Consider the following 21,065-nt stretch of genomic DNA (forward strand, 5'->3'; position numbering starts at 1 on the left):
ACGGTTGTAAACTTAAGAAAGGAATTCTTCAGCTTTTCAAATGCGGGAATATTGAAACATCTGCACACTTTGACTTTCAGGAAATTGTCCTTGCCAAGACTGTACACTAACTATGCTGACTGGATAATTATAAAACATATACATGCATCAGTAAATTAAATTGGCTGGTCGGAGTGTAGTGGTGTTTACAACTAATTGATCACAACTAGTTACAGGTTTCTTGGTTCCTTCTCCACTGCCACTGCTTCACCTGACTAGCCTATACATATCAAAATATGTATCACAATAAATATGTCAAAATATATATCAATATATGTCAAAGTACAATTTATCAATCAATACATGTTTAAAAAATTCAAATATTTTTAAAACTCAAAAAAATTAAAATGAACCAATATCACTTTTCTCAGATAGATGGTATAATTAATTCATTTGCTATAAACAGTAAGAAATTCGAGAACATTTAAAGTACTCTACTGAGTAAAAATTCAATTCAATTAATAAATATTTTCTAAATATTAATAAAACAAGAGTAGTAACATCATTAGGTCATCTAATTTAATAGGAGAAAATAGCTTTTCAATTTAATGAGCATTTCCAAATGAAAGGAAACAATTTGAACATGTTTAATACCCAAAATATGTTAATAGATAACTCCCATGTATGCGATATTTTAATAATTTCTACTTATGTGTTTCTATAAAATTAACCTCATTCTATTTTAGTGGTTTAAATCTTACTGCCAATATAAACCAAACGGAGAAAGAAATTAATGAATGCAGACGCATTGTTACTGTGGATGCCTGAATAACAACATTCAGGCTATGGAGTTTCATGAAGTTTAGAAACACAATAACATTGACATAATGTGAATAAATATATTTGTTTCTTTCTCCACTGAGTTTACCCTTGACATGCCTTGAAACATCTAAATACATGATCAGAACTCATATCTGAACCTTGGACTAAGGCCACCCTCTGTATTAGTGACTCAGCCTAGAATGTCCAAAGTCTCACTGGACAATCCCCAGTGAATATCAGCAAAACAACTGTTAATCTCATTCTCCAGGTAAAGAAGGACTGGATTCATGATTGCTACCGAATCCCCATGGAGGTCTCTGAAATCTCACATGCAGGGATGAAAAACCAATATACACATTTCTTTAAAAACCATGTATTTGTTTCTATGATGACTGTAGGACTGCCGTAAGCTAAGCAAAGGCAGTGAGTGTTTGGAAATGAGGAAATAATAAAGGTACTAATTATAATTGTATTTTTAAATTTTTATTGATTACAGGGAAGAAGGAACTCTGGCAAGTGCTTAAGAGACCTTTTTTCAGAAATAGAATTGAGGTGAATTTCAGCACTAATAACTGTACTTTCTATAACACCATTCAGCAGGAATCTTGGAGTATGAAATGCACACAACCAAAAATGGTTTTGAACCTAATTCATAAATGTGTTTTCTGGACGGGAAGGTAAATGATGGTCAATTGAAGAGACAGGGATACATTATATTAGACTATGCTTTTATGAGCTCAAGTGAAATTAAAGAACCCACATTCATAATAATGATTGTAGGGGGCAGCATTTCCTCATTCCTACTTGGCTGGTGTTTTGTGCTATTTTGGTTTGATTTCTTTTGCCATGAATGATGAGTGATTATATGATGCTCATTATAATCTTATTGCTACTTCTCACTTTGTATTTTACCTTATATGAATCCAGTGTTTCTAATGAAATGCCTGGAAAGTATTAGTGTTGTTTTTGCATAAAAATGTTAAAGGGGCATTAAAGTAAAGGTACAACGAGAATGGTTAAAATCACCAGTCTTCAGTGCAATGATATATTTTCTTAAAAGAAGGATGTTCTTCTGGAAATCAATAATGAAGGTAACCGTATGATTAGTAGCTGTGCTATAGGTATCCAGATTTTGTTTTTACACGCAACTTGATCCAAATTGTAGTGTTTTGTGCTTTTAACTTTTACAATGTATTTATTTTTTCTTTCGGGACACAAGGTAAACTTCCAGTGAAATTATAGAAATAGCTGCCTTAACAACCACACAGAGTTTTGTGAGAAGCAAATGAGCATAGTATGTGGAAACAATGTGAAGGCTATATTACTCTACAGTCATAGCGGATAAGAAGTGTGTGAGTGTAAGTGATAGTGATTATGTTGATGATGCTGGCAATGATAATGATGAAGATGCTGAAACTTGCAGGTTCTCTTCAGTGATACACCCAGTCAAGTAATACACAGTCACTATGTCACAGCTTCTAATAACCCATGGATTCTTCTCCCTGTTGTAATTATAAGATACAGGGTCAGACATTCAGCAACAAAAGCTTACATTTTTAGTAATTGTAAGAGGTAGAATTCGATTTATTTTAAATGGAGTCTCTGTCCCGTGAACTTACAGCGTGAAGCAGAGTAAGCACGTCCTCATTCCAAAATAACAGTCAAAGGATATACTTTCATAATCAGTTTCTGTCTAGCCATGGAAATGTCTGTCTGCCCACTTACCTGTGTATCTATCTGTGAGAGCTGATGCACCATCGTGGACCTCAATGGCAGGATGTGACTTGGAAGCACACATACACACATATAAAGCAAATATTCACTTTATATTCTTTACTCCTTTACACCTTAAAGAGTTGTGGTTCTCCAACTTCATACCCTTCTCAACAATTACAAATACACATTGTGTAAATATTAAATAAGATCAGTTATTCCTAAGTCAGTCAAATACAACATTATGTACTGTGTCTCTTCTTAGGAGAATCTATTGTGGAGGAACTTGAAGGAAGGAGGAATCTCCTGTAGGATTCCATGCCAGGATGCTGTGGAGAGCTGTCCTTGTCTATACTCCAGAAGACACTCTTTTGTGTCATCTGATTGACATTCTAGACAAGTGTTGTCAATGTGAAATAATTCTTACTGTAGACATGCAGATTCAGGTACAGACAGCTTGTTTTAAGGAATTAAGGTTGACTCATGGAGTCAATGAGTTCTCAGCTTTTGCAGTGAAACTGACACTGTCACCTGTTCCACCATTTCCCAGCCCTATGTGCAAGTAACGGAGATCAGTTTCTGGAAGTTTCAGAGATTCAGAACTTTTGTATATTTTAGATATCGCTTCAGAAGACAGGAAGTAAACCAGATTCTGGAAAACTCCATAAAGAATGTCTTGGATTTGGGAGACTTTTAAAACTTCAGTCTGATTTTTTATAAAACTTCCAGCAAAGCCAACTTGTGCCCCTGCCTCCCCAGCTTTTTCTTTCCTTTTCTCTCTCTCTTTTTTTTTTTTTTGGTAAATCCACACGTTTTCTGCACCTATGCAAATGATCATACCAACTTTAAGGAGACCAGCCTTATATTGTGATGAATAATAATTTTTTCTTTGAGAATAGCTTTGATCAAAGGTGAGGAAAATATAGGGAGTAAAATCTGTGCCTCCGTGGAAAACTGCAGTATCTGGACTCAAGACGACCATCCTCCTTGGTTCCCAACTCTGTCACTAGGTCACTGCACAGTCGTGAATAACTCTCTTCAAATCTTGTGATTCAGTTTTTCTTCCTTGTGATAATGAGACTATGTTTGAAAAATCTTTGTCTTCTCTGAGTATATGAATCACTAAATTAGGCTACTTTCTTCATCTCACTTTCAACTCTAAATTGAAGGATAGGAAAGAGATCCATGCAATGCAATGATGCTTTTTGACTTCAAAAGTTAGTAATAGGTTCTTCATTTGAAACTTGGGCAGCATTTGGAGAGTCGTAAATATTACGTTGAATATGTACATCCTCAACTTGATTTACAGAGGAGATTATATGGGTGTTTTTTTATAACTGAATTCTTCCAGTAGGGAATCTTTTACATTGGGAGCAAGATAGAAAATATCTTTCATTTAGAGTTTCTGAGAAACCATTTTTCTGTGAAGCTACATAATAGTTGCCAGGTGAAGTGAAAGTACAGTAAAACTGGGTGATACGAGGAAACGGAAAAAGATTTGTAATGAGTAAATTTTAATCATTAAAAAATCCTACTTGTTTTACATTTCTTATACTTTCTCAATTATTTAACACTTATGTGGAGTTTTTGTTTTAATAATTTTTTTCTATTATTTTTGTTTTGACTGATTAAAAACTGAACCAGCCTTATTTCAGATTTACTGCCAAAAAATTTTGAGGGATGAACTACACCACACATTTTTAAAAGGTTTATATTAATGTACGTTTATTTATCTAGATGTCACATTTATTCACAGATATGTATGTATATATGTATATATGCATATATGTATGTGTGTTTGTGGATCTAGAGGAGTTTACTGAAAATCTCTGAATCTCAGTTTTGTCATCTATAAAATATCAGTGGCGATACCTATCTGAAGAGTTATTTTGATGAACTCCAATAGAATCACGGAACGAATCCTGTGACGTTCCAGGTGCCAATGTGTGGAGAGAGTCTGTGAAAGTTCACGCCTCCCTCCTGCCTTTCACATGAGACGTAGTTCAGGTTTCAGGTTTGTGGGTCCTACTCACTCTGAAATAGTGACCAGGACTTTTTCTGCTCGTTCTTTCCTCCTGTGTATTCTGTCATTAATGCTTATGCCTGCATACTGAATTTTTAGTGAAAAAAAAAAAGTAAAAGCAAGTGAAGATGTTTCTTAATAGGCTAAAATACCTTCCTTATAGCTAATTCTGTTAATACAAAAGTAAAAGGGCCAGAAATAATCCATTTGGATTTATTTTTACATAAGAAAAAATATCTTCTTCACATTATTGAAACAGGAACATCATGGCTGAGGCTGCTTTCCTGTCAGGAACCAGCCTTTAATTTTATTTAAATAATATTATATAATAGGACATTAGAATATTAGAACACTGGAACATGGATAATAAAAAGATGATACATTGGCAGTCATAAAACATGGCATTAACTATCAGATGTGATGTGCCATTTATTATGCTGTTCTATGTTATTTTTTTCTTTAAAATTAGGATAATGTTAACTATTTCTTGGACAGTTTGTCATAGAGAGTCCTATGTAAAACACAAATGATACAAATGTTTGAACTGTTAATTGTGTTAACAATTTCAAATATTACATATTCTACTTACCAATAATTATACTAGTAATATAAATTACGGAGTATTGGATTAATCTTAATGCCAATCTCATCTTGATTCCAAATGACATTTATGAAAATTTGCTCTTCTAAATTTTTTTTCAAAAATTAGCAATGTCATAAAATTACTGAAAATAAATTGCTCTGCCATGGCTTAGAAACCTGCCAAGATGTTTAAAAAATGTATTTGGAAATCCAAATTGGAATAGTTTCAGTACATTTAAGGGATCTTTTATTAGTGCAAATATACTTAAGAGGAACACCATTTTAACCATTTTAAGTGTAGAATTCTGTGTCATTAAGTACATATATTGTTGTGCAACCATCACTACCATGCACCTGTCTCCAAAACAATTTCATTGTCTCCAACTAACACTTTGTTTTTGTTAAACAATTACTCTCCTTCTTTCCCTTCCCCTATCCTCCAGGGTCCACCATTCCACTTTCCATCTCTGTGAATTTCACTACTGTGGGTACTTCATGTAAGTGAATTCTTACAATATTTGTCTTTTTGTGACAGACTTATTTCACTTAGCATAATGTATTCAAGCTTCATCCATGTTGTAGCATGTGTCAAAATTTCTTCGCTTTTAAAAATTGTATATACATACTATATTTATATTGATTTCTTTGTTGATGACCACTTGCTTTGTTTCTGCCTTTGGGCTATTGTGAATAGTATTGCTATGAACATGGGAATAGAAATATTTGTTTGATGCAAAAACAGAATAACAAATACTGCATGTTCTCAGGTATAATTGGGAGCTAAGCATTGGGTACACATGGACATAAAGATGGGAACAGTAGACACTGGGGACTCCAAAAGAGGAGAGTGAGGGAGGAGGCAAGGGTTGGAAAGCTACCTATTTGTGCTATGTTCATTATTTTAGTGAAGGGTTCAACAGAAGCCCAAACCTCAGCATCATGCAACATATCCATGTAACAAACCACGATTGTACTCCCTGAATAAAAAAAAATCCAAAAATGTCTGTTCAAGTGTCTGCTTTTATTTTATTTATTTATTTATTATTTTATTTATTTCATTCAGAACTAAAATTGTTGGATCATATACTTATTCTATGTTTAAGTTTTGGAGGAATTACAATGCAGATGGTTCCAGGTTTACAATAATTTGATGATTTTTGACTTTATGATGAGTTTATAGGAACATAACCACATTGTAAATTGAGGAATACCTGGACATATGATGCTTTGACTTGCAATTTTTGACATTATGATGACTTTATGCAGATATTAAATGCATTTTTACTTACAATTTTTTCAACTTGCAGTGGGTTTGTAAAGGTGAAACTCCACTGCAAGTTGAGAAGCAGCTGTATCATTTTCCACAGTGCCTTTATTATTCGACATTTTCACCAACAATTCTTTATAGTTTTATCTCTTGCATTTAGGATTTTTATTCATTTTGACTTAATTTTTCAATATGGTATAAACATCCAACTTCAATATCTTGAATGTAAATATCCACTTTTCCAAACACCATTTATTTAAAAGATTGTTCCATCTCCACTGAGTGGACTTAGTTCCTTTTTGAAAAAAGGTTACCATGTATATGAGAGGCTATTTCTTGACTCTGTTTTATACTGTTGAGCTATATGTCTGGTGCCATTGCCACATTGTTTTGATTACTATAGCTTCGAGTAAGTTTTAAAATCAGAAAGTATATGGCCTGGTGCGGTGGCTCATGCCGGTAATCCCAGCACTTTGGGAGGCCGAGCCGGGCAGATCACAAGGTAAGGAGGTTGAGGCCATGCTGGCTAACATGGTGAAACCCCATCTCTACTAAAAATACAAAAAAAAATTAGCTGGGCGTGGTGGCGGGCACCTGTAGTCCCAGCTACTCAGGAGGCTAAGCCAGGAGAATGGTGTGAATCTGGGAGGTGGAGCTTGTAGTCACCTGAGATGGTGCCACTGCACTCCAGCCTGGGCGACAGAGTGAGACTCCATCTCAAAAAGAAAAAAAAATCAGATTGTATGAGTCTTTAAATTTTGTTCTTTTTCCAAAAAAGTCAAGATTTTTTGACTACTGAGGATTCTTTAAGATTCATATAAATTTTAGAATGGGCTTTTCTGTTTCTGAAAAAAAAAATTTATCATTTTAATTTTGATAGAGATTCTACTAATTTTTTTGGCTTTGTACACTTTTTATTTTTATTTTTAATAATTATTTTATTGTTTGTTTTTAAGTTCCAGGGTATATGTGCAGGAAGAGCAGTTTTGTTTCATGGGTAAACGTGTGCCATGGTGATTTGCTGCACGTATCAATCCATCACCTAGGTATTAAGCCCAGCATGCACTAGCTCTTTTCCCTAATGCTCTCCCCTCCACCGCCCTCCCACAACAGGCCCCAGTAAGTGTTGTTCTCTTCCTGTGTCAATGTGTTTTCATTGTTCAGCTCCCACTTATAAGCGAGAATATGCAGTATTTAGTTTTCTGTTCCTGCATTAGTTTGCTGAGGATAATGGCTTCCAGCTTCATCCATGTCCTTGCAAAGGACATGATCTTATTATTTTTTATGGCTGTATAGTATTCCATTGTGTATATGTACCACAGTTTCTTTATTCAGTCTATCATTAATGGACATTTGGGTTGATTCCATGTTTTTGCTATTGTGGATAGTGCTGCAATGAACATACACATGCCAGTACCTTTATAATAGAATAATTTATATTCCTTTGGGTATACACCCAGTAACGGGAATGCCGGATCAAATGGTATTTCCAGTTCTAAGTCTTTGAGGAATTGCCACACTGTCTTCCACGATGGGTGAACTAATTTACATTCCCACCAACAGTGTGAAAGCATTCCTATTCCTATTTCACAGCCTCACTAGCATCTGTTGTTTCTTGACTTTTTAATAATTGCCATTCTGATCGGCAGCAGATGGTATCTAATTATGGTTTTGATTTGCATTTCTCCAATGATCAGTGATGTTGTGCTTTTTAAAATATGTTTGTTGGCCATACCTATGTCTTTTTTTTGAGAAATGTCTTTTCATGTCCTTTGCGCAATTTTAATGGGGTTGTTTGTTCTTTTCTTGTAAATTTGCTTAAGTTCTTTGTAGATTCTGGAATTAGATCTTTGTCAGATGGATAGATTGCAATAATTTTCTCCCATTCTGTAGGTTATCTGTTCATTCTGGTGATAGTTTTGGTTGCTGTGTAGAAGCTCTTTAGTTTAGTTAGATCCCATTTGTCAATTTTTGCTATTGTTGCAATTGCTTTTGGAGTCTTTGTCATAAAATCCTTTCCCATGCCTACTTCCTGAATGATATTGCCTAGATTTTCTTCTAGGGCTTTTATAGTTTTGGGTTTTACATTTCAGTCTTTAATCCATCTTGAGTTAATTTTTGTGTAAGGTGTAAGGAAGGAATCCAGTTTCTATTTTCTGCATATGGCTAGCCAGTTCTCCCAGCACCATTTATTAAATAGGGAATCTTTTCCCCGTTGCTTGTTTTTTTCCAGTTTGTTGAAGATCAGATGGTTGTAGATGTGCAGTTTTATTTCTGAGTTTTCTATTCTGTTCCATTGGTCTATGTGCTTGTTTTTGTACCAGTACCATAAGTTTATGTTACTGTAGCTTTGTAGTATAGTTTGCAGTCGGGTAGCCTGATGCCTCCAGCTTTGTTCTTTGGCTATGCAAGCTCTTTTTTGGTTCCATATGATTTTAAAATAGTTCTTTTTTTCTAATTCTGTGAAGAATATCAATGGTATTTATTGGAATAGCATTGTATCTATAAATTGCTTTGGGCGGTATGGCCATTTTCACAATATTGATTCTTCCTATCCATGAGTATGGAATGTTTTTCCCTCTGCTTGTGTCCTTTGTGATTTCCTTGAACAATGGTTTGTAGTTCTCTTTGAATAGGTCCTTCACTTCCCTTATTAGCTGTATTCCCAGGTATTTTATTATCTTTGTGGCAATTATGAATGGGAGATCATTCATGATTTGGCTTTCTGCCTGTCTGTTGCTGGAGTGTAGGATTGCTTGAGATTTCTGCACATTGATTTTGTATCCTGAGAGTTTGATGAATTTGCTTATCAGCTTAAGAAGCCTTTGGGCTGAGTCAGTCTGGTTTTCTAGATAGAATCATATCATCTGAAACAAAGACAATTTGACTTCCTTTCTTCCTATTTGCATACCCTTTCTTTATTTCCTTTGATTGATTGCCCTGGTCATACCTTCCAACACTACATTGAATAAGAGTCATGAGAGATTGCATCCTTGTCTTGTGCTAATTTTCAAAGGGAATGCTTCCAGTTTTTGCCCATTCAGTACAATATTGGCTGTGGGTTTGTCATAAATGGCTCTTATTATTTTGATGTATGTTCCTTAAATACCTAATTTGTTGAGAGTTTTTAACATGAAGGGAAGTCGAATTTTTTTGAAAGCCTTTTCTGTGTCTATTGAGATAATCATGTAGTTTTTGTCTTTAGTTCTGTTTATGTGATGGATTACATTCATTGATTTGTGTATGTACAACCAGCTTGCATCCAGGGGATGAAGCTGACTTGATTGTGATGGAGAAGCTTTTTGATGTGCTGCTGGATTCAATTTGTCAGTATTATATTGAGTATGTTTGCATTGCATTGTTCATCAGGGATATTGGCACAAAGTTTTCTTTTTTTTTTGTTATGTCTCTGCTGGGTTTTGGAAGCAGGATGATGCTGGCCTCATAAAATGAGTTAGTGTGGGCTGGGCATGGTGACTCATGCCTGTAATCCCAGCACTCTGGAAGGCCAAGGCAGGTGGATCAACAGAAGTCTGGAGTTCGAGACCAGCCTGGCCAACTTCGTGAAACCCTATCTCTACTAAAAATACAAAAAATTAGCCAGGCATGGTGTTGTGTGCCTGTTGTTCCAGCTACTCTGGAGGCTGAGGCATGTGAATCACTTAAACCCAGGAGGCGAAGGTCGCAGTGAGCTGAGATTGTGCCACTGTAGGTGACATCATCACCTGGGTGATTGTGAGACTGGATGACAGTGAGACTCCGTCTCAAGGAAAAAAATGATTTAGGGTGGAGTCCCTCCTTTTCAATTGTTTGGAAAAGTTTCAGAAGAAATGATAACAGCTCCTCTTTTTACCTCTGGTAGAATTCAGCTGTAATCCATCTGAACCTGGGCTTTTTTTCCTTTGGTAAGCTATTTATTATTGCCTCAATTTCAGAACTTGTTATTGGTCTATTTAGGGATTCAAATTCTTCCTGGTTCAGTGTTGGGAAGGTTTATGTGTCCAGGAATTTATCCATTTCTTCTAGATTTTCCTGTTTATTTGCATAGAGGTGCTTTTAGTATTCTCTGTTGGTTGTTTGTGTTCCTGTGGGGTTGGTGGTGGTATTTCCCTTATTGTTTCTGATTGTGTTCATTGGAATCTTCTCTCTTTACATCTTTATTATTCTTTTTTTATTATACTTTAAGTTTTAGGGTACATGTGTACAACGTGCAGGTTAGTTACATATGTATACATGTGCCATGTTGGTCTTGATAGTGGTCTACCTAGTTTATTGATTTTTTTTTCAAAAACCAGCTCCTGGATTCATTGTTTGAAGGGTTTTTGTGGGTCTCCATCTCCTTCAGTTCCACCCTGATCTTGGTTATTTCTTGTGTTCTGCTAGTTCTGGGGTTTGTTTGCTCTTGGCTCTCTAGTTCTTTTAGTTGTGATGTTAGGGTGTCGATGTGAGATCTTTCTAGCTTTTTGCTTTGTGCATTTAGTGCAATAAATGTCCCTCTTAACACTGATTTCTCTGCATCCCGGAGATTCTGATGAGTTGTCTCTTTGCTTTCTTTGGTCTTAAAGAACTTCTTCATTTCTGCCTTAATTTTATTATTTAGACAGGAGTCATTCAGGAGCAGGTTGTTCTATTTCCCTGTAGTTGTGTGGTTTTGAGGGGGCTTTTTTTTTTTTTTTAGATGGCTGGAGTGCAATGGTGTGATCTCTGCTCACTTCAACTTTTGCCTCCTGGGTTCAAGCAATTCTCCTGCCTCGGCCTCTTGAGTAGCTGGGACTGCTGGTACACGCCACCATACTCGGCTAAATTTTTTTGGATTTTAGTAGACACAGGGTTTCACTGTGTTGCCCAGGCTTGTCAGAAACTCCTGAGCTCAGGCAATCTGCCCGCCTTGGCCTCCCAAAGTGCTGGGATTACAGTCGTGAGCCACTGTGCCTGGCCTTGAGGGGGCTTTAATCTTGAGTTATAATTTGATTGTGCTGTGGTCTGAGAGACTGTTTGTTATGATTTCAGTTCTTTTGTATTTGCTGAGGAGAGTTTTACTTCCAATTATGCGATAGTTTTAGAGTAAGTGCCATAAGGTGCCAAGACAAAATTTTGTATTTTGTTGTTTTGGGAAGGAGAGTTCTGTAGACATCTATCAGGTCCACATGATCTAGAGCTGAGTTCAAGTCCTGAATATCTTTGTTAATTTTCTGTCTCAATTATCTAATAGTGACGGTGGGGTATTAAAGTCTCTCACTATTATTGTGTAGGGGTCTAAGTCTCTTTGTAGGTCTCTAGGAACTTGTTTTATGAATCTGGATGCTCCTGTATTGGGTTCATAAATATTTACAATGGTTAGAAATTTTTGTCGAATTGAACTCTTTTACATTATGTAATGCCCTTCTTTGTCTTTTTTGACCTTTGTTGGTTTAAAATCTGTTTTGTCAGAAACTAGGATTGCTACCACTGCTTTTTCCTTTTTTCCTTTTGCTTGGTAAATTTTTCTCTATTCCTTTATTTTGAGTCTGTGTGCATCTTTGCACATAAGATGTGTCTCTTGAATACAGCACATCAATGGGTGACTTTGGCTGTTGTTGACATCTTAACAGTATTAACCCTTCCAATTGATAAATATATAGGATGCATTTCCATTTATTCGTGTCTTCTTTAATAGCTCTAATCAGCATTTTCTCATTTTCAATGTATAAAGTTTTTAACTCCTTGGTTAGGTTTATTCTTAAGTGTTTTATTTCTTTTTGTTACTATTGGAAATAAAATCAGAGTGTAGTTTTCAGATTGTTCTTTGTTAGTGTATAGAATTACAACAGATTCTGGTTGTTGATGTTGCATCCTGTAATTTTGCTAATTTTATTTATTATTTATCCTAAGTTTTCTACATATATAATTATGTCATATGCAAACAGAAATAATTTTAGTTCTTTCTTTTGAAATAAGATAATTTTTATTTCTTTTCTTGTTTAATTGTTTTGACTGAACTTGCAGTAATGTGTTAAGTAGATGCAGAGAAAGTGGACTTCCGTGTCTTGTTGCAAATCTTAGAGTCAAAGCTGCCAGTCTTTCATTATTATGATGAAGCTGTGGGTTAAAATCCCAACTGTCACATAATTTTTACATCACTTTAATGTTTTATGAAAGAAATGCATAGACATGGTCTCAGCAGACCACAGGGTAAAATGTTAGAAACATAACAAACTCTTGCTGACCCCAAAGGCAAGGACTTCAAATTATCTTTTCAGTTTTCCCTCATATTTGTCCATGTATTTTCAGACAATACATTCATCTGATAATGCTTGATTTTCTATATCTCAAATATCATTCCTTGATCCATGATACAGACCCCCATGGATAGTAACTGCTCCCTCCTCCGTCATCACCCCCAGGTTCCTTACACTTCTCCCATTGTCACAGCAGAACTGCATTACACCTTATGTCTGCACCAAGGGGTTGACAACATCATTTCATCTTATGGAATTTATTGCTACAATACAAAAAATATAAACTATTGTAAAACCTGGTTATATATATATATATCTTCTGATATTTATTACTTTTATTTCAAAAGCTTTAGAATTTGTCTTGTGGGTAATATTTAGAATTTTTAGGAAATTTTTCCGAGGAAATAGAATTTTTATATAATATTTTTCAGGAAAGTATTTCTCACTTATTTTTGTGAATTTGCATGCCATTTGAATATGATGGTTAATATATTTCATTTCAGAGAAAATTTTTAAAGAATATTAACTTCATTATTATTTTGCTATATGCATTTCTAAGAAAGTCCTTAAGCACATATTGTTCCTCCAATATGATTTCCCTACTTTTTTTATCTTTCCTAAATTACAATTTTTTCATATTGTTGTTGCTTTTGTTTACCTTCTAATAGATTTTTCTTACTTTGCCTTTTGAAACTTTCACTTAATATTTTTTATCAATTATTATATTTTTAATTTTCAAAGGTCCTTTATGTTACCTGTTGCATCCTTTCAGATAGCAAATGATATTTATTTCACAGATTTCGTAACATATCATACATCTCTGAAGATATGAATTCTGATCACAACAATTCATTCTTTCTGCATTTTTAATCATTATAATCTCAGTGTATTTATGAGTATGATCATGTGTGATTATGCATATTTCTGTGTGTTTGCATGCTGTGTGAATGTTAGTTGTATACGTGGTTATAGTAGCTCAAAATTCTGGTGGTATTTGGCTCTAGACTAATATTTAAGCCTAAAAAACTCCAGTTCTTTTAGGCATACTGTGCAAAGTTGTTCTCTGATGTCTTCTATCTGGAGTAGAGTTTCTAACGCACCTCTACCCGGAAGTTTGTCAGAATTCTAGTTTCCCTTTTTATTTAAGAGATTGAATTTTCCTCAAAATTCATTCTTTTGAAGGATCCATAAAGCAATCTGTAATGTTATCTAAGCACTAGAGAAGGAAAAGACAAAATGTGTAACCTATTTGGTAAGGCATCTGCTTTAACTAGAGAATTTTGAAATTAGGCAAGGAGGCAAAAGAGAATGGATGATGATGAATATTGAAAATCAAGAGCGTGAATTAACATGACTTTGGTTAAAGGGACATAGCAATAAGGATTCCTTCTGGATTTCTAAATAAATGAACCACAAAATGATAACTGACTAAATAATTGATAATTGGCATTATTGTGCAAACATCATTCAAGTTTCTCAAAATAGCAGAGAGGCTGCTGCAGTTTTAGAAGTAAATCTGGCAGAATAAACATGGGTTGGGTGGGGAAGCTCATGACTGCACTCCCAGCATTTGCAAGGCCAAGACAGGAGGATTGGTGAGGCCAAGAGTTCAAAACCAGCCTGGCAACATAGCAAGACTTCATGTCTACAAAAATAGAAAGTTAACTAGGTATGGTGGCTTGTGGTCGTAGTCTCAGCTACTCAGGAGGCTGAGGCAGGTGGATTGCTTGAGCCAGAATGTCAAGGATGCAGTGAGCTATGATATTGCCACTTCACTCCCACCTGGGTAACAGAGAGAGACCCTGTCACTCAAAAAAAAAAAAAGTATAAATATGGAAAGATAATAGATCATCCTATAAAGATAATACTAATTTTTCAAATATAAATCTAAATGTATGCATTTATACTGACTTTCTATGCATATGTATTCAATATAACATCTGATTTTGATTATATCTGAATTAGTGTCAGGCAGTAAAACATTATTCTATTGAAGTTGTAATAGAGATATCTTTCTTATAAATTTACATATTTCTCAGAAAAATATCTGGTAACAAATGTTGGTATCATCAAATGTAAAACTCTAGGTAAAAATTAAGATTTCTCTTTCAAAATAGGTAAGAAGTCAGATCAAAGAAGGCTGAGTACAATAAAACATTTTGAGAGAGAAAGATAGAGACCATATTGACATAATTTGTATTATAGTATACTGTATATTCATTCTATTTTATTATAAGTTACTCTTGTTTATCTCTTACTTGTCTTATTTAAAAATTAAACTTTATCAGAAGTATGTGTGGACAGAAAATAATAGTGTATATAGGGCTCAGTGTCAACTCCAGTCTCAAGAATTTACTGAGGGGCTTCAAATGCATTCCCTGCAGATAAAGACGAATTTCTGTGCTTAACTTACCCTTGTGTCTCCCTTCAGGAAAGAGCACACGAATGCCCCATGGAAAATTACAATCAAACATCAACTGATTTCATCTTATTAGGATTCTTCCCACCATCAAGAATTGGCCTTTTCCTCTTCATCCTCATTGTTTTCATTTTCCTAATGGCTCTAATTGGAAACCTATCCATGATTCTTCTCATCTTCTTGGACACCCATCTCCACACACCCATGTATTTCCTACTTAGTCAGCTCTCCCTCATTGACCTAAATTACATCTCCACCATTGTTCCTAAGATGGCATCTGATTTTCTGTCTGGTAACAAGTCTATCTCCTTCACTGGGTGTGGGATTCAGAGTTTCTTCTTCTCGGCATTAGGAGGTGCAGAAGCACTACTTTTGGCATCTATGGCCTATGATCGTTACATTGCTATTTGCTTTCCTCTTCACTATCCCATCCGCATGAGCAAAAGAATGTGTGTGCTGATGATAACAGGGTCTTGGATCATAGGCTCGATCAATGCTTGTGCTCACACTGTATATGTACTCCATATTCCTTATTGCCAATCCAGGGCCATCAATCATTTCTTCTGTGATGTCCCAGCAATGGTGACTCTGGCCTGCATGGACACCTGGGTCTATGAGGGCACAGTGTTTTTGAGCACCACCATCTTTCTCGTGTTTCCCTTCATTGCTATTTCATGTTCCTATGGCCGGGTTCTCCTTGCTGTCTACCACATGAAATCTGCAGAAGGGAGGAAGAAAGCCTACCTGACCTGCAGCACCCACCTCACTGTAGTAACTTTCTACTATGCACCTTTTGTCTACACTTATCTACGTCCAAGATCCCTGCGATCTCCAACAGAGGACAAGGTTCTGGCTGTCTTCTACACCACCCTCACTCCAATGCTCAACCCCATCATCTATAGCCTGAGGAACAAGGAGGTGATGGGGGCCCTGACACGAGTGAGTCAGAGAATCTGCTCTGGGAAAATGTAGAAACATTTTCTACCTAAGGTCTCAGGACTCAGATACACATCCATCCAGCAGTGTATAGTAATTAAAATATTATTTCAATCCTAGAGTTCAGGAGCTAAAAGTAATCAAGGTAAGAGAAAAAAATCACTGATTTCTGGACAAAATTGTTTTACATATATATGTATATATAACTCCAAACAACCTTTTTTCTTCATGGCATTGTTTCCATAAATTTTGAAAGCACCTACTTTTACTAATATGTTGTCAATGAGAATTTTTGTTTTTGGTCATGCAGAAATAGAAATGAAATTGGTCTAACTGAAGTTGGCACTCAGCATAACAATTTCCTTATGGTCAGTTTATTTTCCAGTAATTTTAAATTTACTTTTTTGTTTATGTCTAAAACAAAACAAAAAATAAGTCTCTTGACTTGGTGTATCTAGTTGAAAGCTGTAAGATGTTTTGTCTTTCTTATCTTAGACACTTAACGTACCAATTACTCATTCTTTCAATTTAGGGAACTCATTACACAGTTTAGCAGAGAGCTCATCAGGGATTCTTAAGTCCTGATACCACTCTGGATGGCCTATGACAAGATTATGTTCTTTATAGGGGAATGAATCCCAGGAAATGATTTAACATTAGGTATATTTTAGATCAACAAAAGGACTGGAACATGCCAGCAGTAATAAAAATGATTACATTTAGGTCTTTAACCTGTTTTGAGTTGATTTGGATATAGTGTAATGACTGGGAGTTTATTTTCATTTTTCTGCTTAAAAATATCCAGTTTTGCCAGCACCTTATATTGAAGACACTGTCTTTTTCCCAATGAACAGTCTTGGGTCTGTTGTCAAAAATCAGTTGCACAGAAAGGTTTTGCTTGTTCTCACTCCTATGCGAGAGCTAGAATTTTTAAAAACTGAACTAGTGGAAATAGAGAAGAGACTGATGGTCACCAGAGGGTGGGAAGGGTACAGGGGAGGGACGATAAAGTGGGGATGGCTAATAGTTGCAAAAATATAATTAGATAGAATGAATAAGAGTATTTGATAGCACAATAGAGTAACTATAGTAAACAATAATTTATTGTAGAATTTATTGTATGTATTAAAGAATAACTGAAAGAGTGGAATTGGAATGTTCCCAACACAAAGAAATAACCATATTTGAGGTGATGGTTACCCCGATTAACCCGATTTGATCATTATGCATTGTATGCCTTTATCAAAGCATCACATACACTCCGCAATTATATATTACTATTATGTATCCATAGTAATTAAAATAAAAGAACCAGTTCACTGTAGATATATGGATTTATTTCTGGGTTCTCTGTTCTGTTTCACTGTTCTATGTGTCTGTTTTTATGCCAGTACCATTCTGTTTTGGTTATTCCATGTTTGTAGTATAGTTTGAAGTTTGGTACTCATGCCTCCAGTTTTTTCTTTTTATTCTACAGTGCTTTGACTATTTGGGTTCTTTAATAGTTCCATACAAATCTTAAATAATGGTTTTTACTATTTATGTGCAGAATGTCATTGGTATTTTGATAGACATTGCATTGAATCTGTAGTTTGGTTATTTAAATAATATTAATTCTTCCAATCCATGAGCATTGGATTTCTTTCCATTCATTTGTATTCCTCTTCATTTTCTTTCACCAGTGATTTGTACAAATACATTCTAGTGTTCTCTTCCATGACTACCGTTAACGGTAAAGTATTACATAGTGCAATGCTCTTTAAATGTCATTTCTATTTCTAAGCCTGTGGATATTTGTTTTACCATATTGTAGCAGTTAAAACATAAATTTTGAACTTGTTTTATAAATCAGACTATGTCTTTGTTGTGCTTTTTTGCAATGAGCAGTGTGTATTTTTATTTTGTAATGATTTACTAACAAAGTTTACTGCCTTAGCTTCCTGGCATTTCCTGTCCTGATATTCACTCAGCTAGGTCATATTCCATGAATACAACAGGGAGGGGCTTTGGGACAGAGAGAAAATAGGCCTTCCATCACGAGTCACTTGCTGCTGCCAGGGAGAGCACCTCCTCTCTTCCCAGGTAGGGACATTTGTACCCAACTGCCACCTGTGCCACTGCTTCTGTCATCACCACCAATCTGAGCCCAGCCACACCCAAGCCACTCCTTGGAATCCTGTGGTGCTGTGAAGTATTACAAGATGTGTGCGTGTGTGTGTGTGTGTGTGTGTGTGTGCATGCCTGAGAAGGCCAGGCAAATTGCCCCACGTGGGTGTTGCCTTAGCCCCCTTGTGTAGTCATTTCTACTGGACCAAAACTGCTTGCTAATGCTGCCAACCTGTCCAGCTCTTCTGTCACATGCTTACTCAGAGATGAAATTATTAAATATTCCAATGATAACAGCGGAGCATGAAACCATGCATGGAGCCCTTTGAGTGTAGGACCTTGTGCATAGGTCCACGAAGCCAGTCCTGAGAAGGATGGGAAGAGTGAGCAGGAAGTGAATGAGATCATGCAGTCTAGGATAGTGGTGGGATTGTGAGATGGTCTGGGTGTTGCTATCCTCCCAAAATCCATATGCTTAAATCTTAACCCTCAATGTCATAGTATTAGGAGTTGGGGCCTTTTGGGAAATGATTAGGTCATGAGGATAGCACCCTCTTGAATAAGATTAATGCCTTTCTAAAGGAGGCTCAGGGGAGCTTGTTTGTCCCTTCTACCATGTGAGGTTACAACAGATGGTGCCATCTAGGGTGTCGTAGAAGCCATCGTCTATGAACCAGAAAGCAAGCCTTCTCAGGACACTGAATCTTCAGTCACTTTGTCTTAAGACAAAGAACTTCCCAGCTTCCACAACTCTGAGAAATACATTTCTCTTGTTTATAGGTTACCCAGTTTAAGACATTTTTGTCATAGAAGCTTGAATAGACCAAGACACAATACCTGCTGTTTTTGTTAGTTGTTATTACTGGAAAAAGCCTGAGGGAAGACTGAATTAAGCAGTGGTGCCCAGTTCAGACCCTTTACCCATTCCAGGTAGTGATTCATGGAGGGAATCAGGAGACCTAGCTGTATGATTTTCTGTGACATACCACGGCTTTGGGGAAATCATTCCATCTCTCTGAAGTTAGTTTACTGAAAAACAATATGGATGCCTTTATCTTATTGGTAAATGGCATCATTGAAGTCCCACCTACTGACATTCCTGTATAGGCAATGGTAATCCTATTTTTCATGCCAGTGTCTCTGTGAATGGAGATAAAGAGGTCACCAATGAATGCTGAGCATTTCAAGGCTATCAGAAATGACTTCAAAATTCGTTTACCCCTGTAGGTTCTGGCTCAGGAAAGCAATAAGCTCGTCCCCACTGACATAGTATCTGTACTCAGAGGCCACTCCTTTCCCCTTGTGGTCATTAAGAAGAACAACGGAGAAAGAAGTCAAATTATCCAAATATACTGTCATTTGCTACATTGTTTATGAGAATGTAGTCCTGATAATTTTGAAAGTTGGACAATAATTCCTCTTGGGGAAATTAATGAATTCATTACCTCACAGAGTCCTTGGCTCACTGTTCATTGTGCCTCGTTTTAGCCATTTTTCTTTCCATCCAAATGTTACGCTGTGGTTATTTTTCACTTCACAGTCATTCTTTAATTCTTTCATGTCCTCAGGCTAGAAGATGCAAATTTTACAGCATGTGGTATCTATTAGCATTTCATACCACACAGTGTGCATTTAGAAATTTCTTAAGTATTAAATTAGCAAAGTTTGATTTATGGAAAGGGACATGAGTATTCATTCTATTTTGAAGGATGAGTATCTTTCTTTTTTTTTTGCATTTATTTATTTATTTATTATTATTATACTGTAAGTTTTAGGGTACATGTGCACAATGTGCAGGTTAGTTACATATGTATACATGTGCCATGCTGGTGCGCTGCACCCACTAACTCGTCATCTAGCATTAGGTATATCTCCTAATGCTATCCCTCCCCCCTCCCCCCACCCCACCACAGTCCCCGATGTGTGATGTTCCCCTTCCTGTGTCCATGTGTTCTCATTGTTCAGTTCCCACCTATGAGTGAGAACATGCGGTGTTTGGTTTTTTGTCCTTGCGATAGTTTACTGAGAATGATGATTTATCACAACAAGCTGTGGTTCAATAGTGACATAGTTGGGTAGAGTGAAGGAGTGAATTACATGCCATCCACAAATATGCTGAGTCAGCATGTTTATTAGTCTGAGCTGAAAACATGTGAGAAATTTTGGTTAACATTGGAGAAAAAGGTTATCTCACCTGTCTTTTCAGCATGCAGCAAGTTCTAAAGATTCTTCCAGGAATCTCTGGTACATTCTGATACTCTTCCAGTACCCTCTCTGTATCAGAATAGAAAATAGCCCTTCACCAGAGCCTGACAGCTGGAGGAATGCAGTCTGAATAATAAACTACCAGAATTAACCCTTATTTTTCACTATCTTTACACCCCCATATACCTCCTAGTAACTCCCTTGGAATGTATGGCTTTGAGCCAGTTTCTCTTTTTTCTGTAATTTTTTCTGCAACTTATCATTCTTTGTCTAAAATTATAAAAGCATCTTGCTTTGACCATTTATTTGGACTTCACACTCTTGTGAAGATTCCCATGTACATGTAAAATGAATAAAACTTATATGCTTTTCCCTCGTTAATCTGTCTTGTACCAATTTGTTTCCTAGACCTTGGCAAAAAAACTCACAGAGGATATAAAGTGGGTGAGGTAGAGGTGATCCCTCATGTTTCTGTAGAAGTAATAATTGTCTTCCTTTTGTAAGATTTACCTCAACCCCACTACTAACTTTTTTTTTACTTGCCTTTAAAATCTGGAGAAAAAATAGGCAATTATTTTACAGATGAAATATCTTATCAATCACTGAATACTTAGTACTTAGAGCATTTTAGGAGAATACAAAGATGAATACGTGGACCACACATGTTGGACTGAGGTCAATTTGACATTTGGGACTTAATCTCAGCTATTTTGTCTCACTGCCACCAAATTCAATCATATGATCCTTTTAATTTTATCTGCTAAATATTTTAAAATACATTTGTCTTCCTCAGTC

The 21,065-nt window shown here is 35.9% G+C and overlaps 2 protein-coding genes and 1 long non-coding RNA gene across 5 annotated transcripts in view; 2 read left to right on the top strand and 1 right to left on the bottom strand.

Annotated features, from left to right (window-relative positions):
- Positions 1-21,065, top strand: part of OR2L13 (olfactory receptor family 2 subfamily L member 13) — a 163,987-nt gene that overhangs the window by 108,449 nt on the left and 34,473 nt on the right. The window lies entirely within an intron of this gene.
- On the top strand, positions 1,211-17,782 carry OR2L3 (olfactory receptor family 2 subfamily L member 3). The gene is made up of 2 exons (NM_001004687.2): positions 1,211-1,255; positions 15,036-17,782. Exon 2 carries the CDS (start codon positions 15,057-15,059, stop codon positions 15,993-15,995), a length of 939 nt encoding a protein of 312 aa, NP_001004687.1. The 5' UTR covers positions 1,211-1,255; positions 15,036-15,056; the 3' UTR covers positions 15,996-17,782.
- The window catches only part of LOC105373275 (uncharacterized), a 47,838-nt gene continuing 28,852 nt past the window's right edge, over positions 2,080-21,065 (bottom strand). Inside the window, exons 3-5 of one of the 2 annotated variants that reach the window (XR_949368.3) lie at positions 20,260-20,339; positions 19,511-19,634; positions 2,080-2,303 (exon numbers count right to left, since the gene is read on the bottom strand). This is a non-coding gene — a long non-coding RNA (uncharacterized LOC105373275). The remainder of the gene's footprint in view (positions 2,304-19,510; positions 19,635-20,259; positions 20,340-21,065) is intronic. The other variant, XR_949369.3, reaches the window with a different exon arrangement.

Source organism: Homo sapiens, chromosome 1 (assembly GCF_000001405.40).
Source record: "Homo sapiens chromosome 1, GRCh38.p14 Primary Assembly".
Classification (NCBI taxonomy): Eukaryota; Metazoa; Chordata; class Mammalia; order Primates; family Hominidae; genus Homo; species Homo sapiens.